Here is a 9,571-nt window from a genome sequence, read left to right as displayed (position 1 = left end):
TCAGTTGGGGACATGCCTTGAAATTATATAAATAACTTGACATCCATCAAATTGTACTTATTAGTTTTAGGATCTATTGATGACTCTTGTCCAAATCAATTTTTACAATGATGATTGCAAAATGATGATTTTTAAAAATTCTTATCATTCCCTCTACATTTATTACTTGGCACCCTACAACCAGGAAGAGCTTTCTTCTCTTTTCCTTCTGCTTAATTATCAATTAATTGATTGTTAGTATGGAATTATCAATTTTTGTATTTTCCATGGGTTATAACCCATTACTATCCTTACTCATTTTGATGGCAAATTGTCCCAGATTTGTCCAATGTGAACCCCTCAAGCTGTCTTCTTTAACAGTCTCTTTTAACCAGACAAAATTCTAATAATATATATTTTTAAAAAACAGTTTTCTGGAGATCACTTATTTTGTGTATTATCCATTGATATAATATGAGAGAAGGAAAACAGCCTTCTATTTTCAAAGAAATTTCAGTAATTCTTAAACAGGGATAAATAGTTTTCTTATTGCAAGATTTCTCAGAGCATTTACTGTGCTAACGTGCATCTTAAAGTTGTAAAAGATGAATATCCTGATAATGGTTTCAAGTCATAGGAAACTTTTTCTAATGTAGCATTTGGCAGGACCATATACTTAAGAACACAGCTTATTAATGATAAATTAGTTAAATCTGAAAAGAATATTCTTACTTCCAACAAGTTCTGGTTTAGATAGTAAATGAAAAGTAACACATTTTGGTCTAAATCTAATATATTTTGTTAGATGGACATTCTCAAATTAAACCAGAAACTGCCCATAGTATGTATTTATTACCCTATCAATAAAATTATGTGATTCCTAGAGCTAATTTCCTTGAAAGGACATTGAAATGAAAGTTTTCTTAGCATTATCTGAAGCTAAGTTGGTATCAATCATGCCTACAGATAAGGTGAGAGTTTCCTATAAAACAACCTGCCAGACATTAAGTAGAAATAATGAGCTCTAGTTTGGTAAATTTGTTTCCCTCAATGCTCAAGTAGTAGGTCTGAAACTTAGTTTGCATTAGAATCTTTTGGGTGGCTTAAAACAACAGAAATTTAGTCTCTCACCATTCTGAAATCCAGAAGTCTGAAAATAAGATGTTGGTAGGGTGATTCCTTTTGGAGGTTCTGGGAGAGAACCTATTCTATGGCTCTCTCCTAGCTTCTGGTGACTCTCCTCAATTTCTGTCATTCCTTGGCTTGAAGACACAGCAGTTTAATTTCCACTCTGTCTTCTCATGGCTTCTCTTTTTGGGTCTCTTTGCATCTTCTTTTCTGTCTCTTTTAAGGATACCCACCACTGAGTTTAGGGCCCACCCTAATCCCAGATGATCTCATCTCAAGATCCTTACCTTAATTATATCTGCAAGACTCTTAAAAAAAAAAAAAATCAGGTCACCTTCACAGGTGCCAAGGGTTAGGACTTAAACATATATTTTGAAGGACAAAATTCAACCCACTCCAGCTAATACAATAAAACACGTAAAGGTGATTTGCTTTCCTGTCGTTGGTTTTATGTGCAACCTTACAAAGCAATTTATGTCCCTCTTCTTTCACATACAAAATACAGAATAGGGTTCCTTTTTATTTTTCATTTCACATGAGGTGCTATGTTAGTTAATGAAAAAATCCAGGCTTCTAGTAAACTATCATTTGTAGCACTGAAACGGAACACTTTTTCATATATTAATTATATTAACCATCATAGCAACTCTAGGAGGCAAGTATAAAATGATATTTCCATTTTATAAATGAATAAACTAAGATACAGTCCCTTAAAGCCACAAGTAGCTAGTAATTGAATTTATAGTAAAGTCACCTATCTCTAATTACCTAGTACTTCTTACATGAAGATTCATGCCTTTCCCCTCTATTACTTGGATACATTGGCATGTATAAACCTGGAATGCTAGGCCTTTGTTTTCATGATTTCACAACAACAACGACAACAAAATCAGCCTTTCTAGGAACTAAGGATTATCTCTGCTAAACTGATGAATGCCAGACTTGCTAACTTGCTTTGAGCAAAAACAAAGCTGGCACTCAAGGAAACAAACATGTAAGAGGAAATAAAAAAAAAAGGATGGATGAAAGGATAGAAGGTAAAGGGAAAAGAAGGAAACAGAAGGGAAGGGAAAGTCAACTCAGCTTTAAATTATACATTTTTTTTTATTTCTCTTCAACTTATCCAACTTAAGAAATAGCATTGCCTCCTTAGCTCAACTTTATGTTCTTTTGGATCTAGAAAGCTGTGTCTCTTCACCTTGTTATCCTCTACAGAAGCTAGTGCATTGCCCTCTATATAGTAGAGTTTACTATGTTGAAATTAATTGAATCATTTGCTCAGGCTTATAAAAATATTTACCAGCAAGACAAAGTTTTCTGAATCTTCCTCTAGGGTTTGGAATTTCTCTTTTGTTTAGAAAAACAATTGCTCTCTAAATCCATCATCTGACTATATATCTGAGATGTATATCTTTGAGAGAAGGTCAGAAAGGCTACTTCAAAGTAAACTGTCTTATTATACACATCACATTTACTAAGACATCTCTACAAATAACCTGTTTGTCCATATGCAATTGCATGGATATAACCAGGTGTAAATTGTAAAATATCTCTTTAGAGTCTCCAGTAACTCCATTCATTTTTTGTGTAGTGGTAACTCCATCTCATTATTGAAAACACAAAGAATATTTTATTGTGAATACATCCCATATATCTGAACAAAAAATAGGCTGAAATTAATCTTTATATTTTGACAGAAAATCATTCATACTAATGTACTGTTTTACCTGTAGATTTGTGCTTTAAAAATCTTTAATTTGTAATAGAGAACTGAAAAACTTTGCCTCATGTTAAGAGAATTTCTGGCATTCAAGAATCGGGTAGAAGAAATATTTAGAGTGAAGGAAGCCTTTTCTTGTCTCAAACTCATGTTAAATATGTGGCTGAGTCAATTTTAACATAATCTTTGAGGGTCTCAAAATTAGCCTTGAGTCAGAAAGAACAGTGGTATTACCAGCTGTTTCACTTACTTTCTCACTTGTTAATCTGTTCTTTCCTTTATTTCTCCCTTCTGTCCTATCTTGCTTCCTTTTCCATCCTTATATTCCCTTCCTCATTCCCCCTTTGGAGAATCATTTAACATATTCTTTGTCTTTTTATGCTCTTAAATCCTGATGATTAAATGCCAGAAAGCAGAGATCTTTCTAAAACTCAGTGCCCTCTCTTCCTGCACTACCACTCCTGATTTGTATATATACACCCCACCCCCAGAAACTAGAGGGTTGGAAACACACTTAACATTCATCAGAAGATACTGGGTCATCAGGAACACTGTAGAAGTAGCATTAGAATTGGGTCCCTTATACACATCCCTTTAAAAATATGCTAATTCAGATATACACAACCCTTCAAAATATGCTAATTCATTCTTTCATGATCCACCTAAATTATTGTAGTTAAATTGATAAGTCAAATTGATTTTCTATTACGATTTGGAGGACTCTGGTGTGGCAGGATGTCCAATGGCAACTAGAAGACTTCCAGAAGGTCACGTTAAATCTCTTTAGTTGCTTATTGCTGAACAAGCCTATTAACTTTCCTCAACAGCCCTATGCTTAACTAATTCTAAGTAGTTCATAATATATTAGATAAATTGTTGTGGGGAATTAGATAAAATATATGAAGGTATACTATAAACTGTACAAAAGCTAAACAAATATTAATTATTGTTTTAATTATACTTTTCAACAAAATCTTTTCCTTCAAGTTCATTCAAGGCCCCAGTCAAATTCTGAAAATACTAATTAGAAGAAAATACACAGTCTCAAATGGAATGATAAAATATCAAGATACTGAAGGTTCACTGGATATCCTCTATGTATATCCCGGGAGTCCTCATCTGAAAATGAAGATCTGGTTGACTCAGTGATCTATTTAAAGGAGAGGGAGAGGAAGAAGGAAATGGAGATCTACCTATATATTCAGAGACACACACACATGGAGAGAGAGAGAGTGTGTGTGTGTGTGTGTGTGTGTGTGTGCATCTTGGCCCCACTTACTAAATCTCTATCGAAAAGAAGAGGCAGGGGAGAAGGAAGAGGAGAAAGAAGACTATAAAACACAATATTCCTGCATCTGGTACTATTGACTAAACACTCTGAGGATTTCTTGTAAAAGGGACCCAATTCTAATGCTACTTCTACAGTGTTCCTGATGACCCAGTGTCTTCTGATGAATGTTAAGTGTTAAGTTGCTTGGTTTTTTTCTCCTAAACAAAGAGGCCAAATGCATTGCCAGTGCTTTGCTTTCTTTAATGCCACTATTGTGCAGGGATTCACTCAGCAAGCTAGAGGAATAACACGTGGGTGTTGAATACAAAGAGGCAGCGGGTTCCAAATGCAGCCTCCAAAAGACAAGGCTGTCTCCACACTCTGCATGGCATGGAATAAAACTGTGTTTTGTCCAAAATTTAAAAGCCTGACCTGCGGGTCCTTAGAGGAGAAAAAGACTTCCTGCAAAGGTGACATCTGGATTCTCTCCTTGCTTCTGCTGCTACTGCTGTTTTTACCACCATTTTCTATATTCCCATTTCTTTGCTGCAACTGTCAAATTTTAAGTTTGAAAATATTTTATTCTGCCCTCTTGCATGAAATAGTTGGAGGAGGGAAAAGCTTATGATTTCTCAAACAGATATAGTCATTTTATTGTAAAAGGGTTTAAAGGCCCCACCATTTCTTCCAGAAATTTTAATAAGCATACAGGAATAGCCAGCTGGCTAATCCTAGGAATATCCCTCCTCCCTGATCATTTTATAGAAAGATCCTGTGGTCAGGAAATATAAAGCTTTCAACACATTGACCACAGCTAGGATTATAGCCTCATATGGTAGAGATTTTTCCCACTGTCTTTTTCTGGGTCTTGTCAATATCCAGCCGTCCTCTCAGGGGTGTTGAAGTCACCTTCACCCTTCTCACTGGGGAGAACTTCAAGATTGACTGCACTAATGAGGGAGTCTGGAATTGAGACATTACATGTAAATCCATCACTGTGATTAAACTTAGCACCCACACTGTGTGTGCTTGGTAGTTTGAAAGAGCCTGGCTATTAAATGGCTTCATATTTTTATACCTTTTGGCACCCTCATAAAAGGACTTAAGGAAACAGAATTTTTCCTCCACAGCTACAGATGGACTAAGGCAAATCTATGCTAAGAAGCTATAAAATAATTTGAAATGTCTTAGGTTCATTGATAAATCAAGTCAGTAGCTCTGCAGAGTACTGTTAAAATGTATAAAAACATGTATATTAATAAAGTTATACATGTATGTAAAGATAGATATATGGGGTAACACCTATTAAATTGCAAATAAAGTAAAACCTCATTAATTCAGACTCACTTAAATTGGAATTTCTGATCTACTGAAAGTCTGGCTAAGCAGAAGTTTTTCTTTACCATATCAATGGACAAAAGTCTTGCTGAACAAATCTGTAGTGTAAATAAAGTTTATAGGGAGCATATGTAGACTAAGAGAATACACTGTTGTTACCATCCTCAAGTACTTCAGGAACACCCATTTACACACAGATAATTGAGAGTATAATTGCAAAGCATTCTTAAGTATTAACCAAAGTAGGCACTCTAAGGACCTCTAAAAGGAATCTTTAGTTATTGCAGGTCCACTTCTTTCATATACTTGAAAGAGATAAATTTTCATCCTTTTAAAAATATTCCATAGTTCAAATTTCCCACAAATGTGAGAAGCACATCTTTCTCTAGCTAATGCAAATTAATAAGCTGCTAAAACATATATTATGCTATAATACATTAATATACTAGATTTTTTGCTTTTGCATTTCAAGTATTTTAGCGAAATTTGGTATTTGCATATTTATGTGATGCCTGTGGATGCATACTTATATTTATAGCAGTATAGGATGACAGAGCACTGACCTTATCAGCTCTGCCACTATCTTGCAAGGTGAGCTTGAGTGTCAACTTGAGCCTAGGTTTCCTCACCTGTAAAATCAAGAGAAGTGCTATGGTAACCACCCTACATCTCAGACTTGGTGCAAGGATCAGATGATGTTATTTAAAGTAATGAAAGTACTTCATAAAGTGAAAGGCAAATATGTTCTCATTATTTTCTCTGCAATGGATACTTATCTTTGATTTAGAAGGAAATGAAGATGACACATATCATATTGAAATAACCAGATATATATTTTATGTTCATTATTACCAAAAAGTGTACTGTGTCCCACTTGGGGTAAAACGGAAATTGAAGCAATCTACAAACATCTATTCATTCTATTTACCATTTAGAGTGCAGGGGCAGGCATTGAAACCATAAGATTTTTTTTTAGCAATTTGTAGGAATATTTTAGATTTTAAAAATCTTTGCGATTTAATGTGTCAAGTAAGCGGAGTTTAAATGAAAATCTCACAAACACACAAGTTTTAGAAAACACAGAATGGGTCAGTCCTAAGGGCCGATAAAACAGTATGTCCAAATCAAGACCTCTGTAGCTTGGTTCATCTGCCCTCTTGTAGCCAACACCTAGCACAGTGGCTAGCACACACTTAACAATTATTTGTTCTACTATGATGCCTCTTGGTGAGCTATTAGCAAACCCTAGATAGATTTGCAAATGCAAGGACAATATATGTGCCCTCAAGGACAAAATAACTGTAAATTTCATAAGGTAAAGGACTAGGTCTGTCTTATTTTCTGATGTAGCCCCAGATTGTAGAACTTGGTGATTGTTCTACACCACCACTTGGTGTTGGGGATTTTTAAAAAGAAGAACTTATTTAGGCCGGGCGCAGTGACTCATGTCCGTAATCTCAGCACTTTGGGAGGCCGAGGCAGGTGGATCACCTGAGGCCAGGAGTTCAAGACCAGCCTGGAGAACATGGCGAAACCCCGTGTCTACTAAAAATACAAAAATTAGCTGGGAATGGTGACATGTGCCTGTAATCCCAGATACTAGGGGGCGCTGAGGCAGGAGGATTGCTTGAACCTGGGAGGTGGAGGTTGCAGTGAGCCAAGATCATGCCACTGCACTCCAGCCTGGACGACAGAGTGAGACTCCATCACAAGAAGAAGGAGAAGGAGAAGGAGAAGGAGAGGAGGAGGATGAGGTGGGGGGGAGGAGGAGGAGGTTGGGAGGGAGGAGGAGGAAGAGGAGGAGGAGAACTCACTTAATGAGCAAGCAGCTCCTAGAGGTTATGTCTTATGTAAGTTGACTAAGATGTGGTCTTTATACTCAGTTTATCATATGAAGTGACCAGGGAGACAGAATTTTATAGAACTATGGGACAAAAGAGTAAGTGTCAAGTTATGAAATAAAGTGCTCTGGGAACATACAGCACTGTTTTGCTATGCCGGTTGCACATTAAAATCATCTAGGGATTTTTTGAAGCACTATCAGTGTTCCAGATCAATTAAAACAAAGGATGGGGCTTGGGCACTAGGATACTAGTATTTTTTTTTTTTTTTTTTTTTTTTGGAGATGAAGTCTCGCTCTGTCACCCAGGCTGGAGTGCAGTGGCGCGATTTCAGCTCACTGCAAACTCCACCTCCCGGGTTGACGCCATTCGCCTGCCTCAGCCTCCTGAGTAGCTGCGTCTACAGGCGCCCGCCACTACACCTAGCTAATTTTTTGTATTTTTAGTAGAGACGGGGTTTCACCATGTGAGCCAGGATGTTCTTGATCTTCTGACCTCGTGATCTGCCTGCCTCGGCTTCCCAAAGTGTTGAGATTACAGGTGTGAGCCACCGCACCCAGCCAGGCACTAGTATTTTTTTAAAAAAATTAGGTGATTCTAATGTGCAGCCAGCAAGAGATTAGTTGACAGAAAAGTTAAAAAGGAGTAATTATAACAGGTAGAGGAGTTAGGAAAGGACATTTTCTCAGGTGAAGTAATATTTATACTAAGTCTGTTTGTCTTTATGATTCATGAAGTCCAGAAAAAATGCCAAATTTTTCTCCTTCCAAATTTTCAACAGATCTTCTCCTAGAAGAGAAACAGATTATGAAGACGAGTACCTCCCATGCACTGCTCTTCCCAACTCTTTGAAGTTCTAAATCCCAAAGACTTAAAGTGGTACCCAAGAATCTTAAAAGTCCTAGACCACATCTCACTTCGGAAAAAGATTCAATATCTGGATCAATTCAAGACACTGAATTGATAAAGATTCAATTCAACCTAGAGCAAGGTTAGGAAAACAAAAGGAGAACAAGGACCTTGTGATTCTCAAGTGGATGAATGTTTGATATTTATCTAATTTTCTTCACTTCAAGAGTTCTTCACATGTGGGCAAACCCAAGGATGTGGATTTAATCAGGGCTAGTATGACTTGAGAAGTCAAAGCATTATCTTTATCTGTCATAAGTTTCAATCATGTTCATACTTAGTTATAATAATTTACAGTCACTTTTATTTATAATAATAGGCGAATGACTTGGACCCCATATTGAGAAGGGAAACAACAGGGTTCTTTTTCTTATTACTCTGACTTTCCAATACCAACGAAGTTGGAGGAAAAATTTTTCCCTCTTCTTGCAAGTAATGCCAAAAATTGTGCACCAAAAGAGTATCCATTGTAAAGGATCTGTTTTTAAAAATAATTACTCAGGAGTAAATAGACAATCTACAGAATGGGATAAAATATTCACAAATATCCAACAAAGTTCCAATATTCAGAATCTATGAGGAACTTAAACAATTTAATAAGCAAAAAACAGATAACCTCATTAAAAAGTGAGCAAAGGACATGAACAGACACTTCTCAAAGAAGACATACAAGCAGTCAATGAACATATGAAAAAAATGCTCGAAAGCACTAATCATCAGGGACACGCAAATCAAAACCAAGATGAGATATCATCTCATACCAGTCAGAATGGCTGTTATGAAAAAGTCAAACAATAACAGATGTTGGTGAGGCCATGGAGAAAAGGAAACACTTATACACTGTTGGTGAGAATTTAAATTAGTTCAGCCTCTGTGGAAAGCAGTTTGGAGATTTCTCAAAGAACTACCTCTTTTACCAAGGACTCACCAACATGGGCCACGTTTGCACCAAAACCATGAAGAAGGCTGCCTGGGTCATCATAGAAAAGTACTACATGCACCTGGGCAACGACTTCCACACAAACAAGCACATGTGCAAGGAGATTGCCATTATCCCCAGCAAGAAGCTCCACAACAAGACAGCAGGTTATGTCACCCATCTGATGAAGCAGATTCAGAGAGGCCCAGTAAGAGGTATCTCCATCAAGCTGCAGGAGGAGGTGAGAGAAAGGAGAGACAATTATGTTCCTGAGATCTCAGCCCTGGATCAGGAGATCATTGAAGTAGATCCTGACACTAAAGAAATGCTGAAGCTTTTGGACTTTGGTGGTCTGTCTAACCTGCAGGTCACTCAGCCTACAGTTGGGATGAATTTCAAAATGCCTCGGGGACCTGTTTGAATCTTTTCTGCAATGCTGTATTATTTTCAATAAATCTGTGACAACA

At 36.8% G+C, this 9,571-nt stretch overlaps 1 pseudogene; it reads left to right on the top strand.

The window, feature by feature from the left end:
* On the top strand, nucleotides 9,093-9,571 carry RPS17P5 (ribosomal protein S17 pseudogene 5; annotated as a pseudogene).

Source organism: Homo sapiens, chromosome 6 (genome assembly GCF_000001405.40).
Source record: "Homo sapiens chromosome 6, GRCh38.p14 Primary Assembly".
Taxonomy (NCBI): domain Eukaryota; kingdom Metazoa; phylum Chordata; class Mammalia; order Primates; family Hominidae; genus Homo; species Homo sapiens.
The sequence above is the reverse complement of the archived record's forward strand: the minus strand, read 5'-3'. Positions and strand labels throughout refer to the sequence as shown.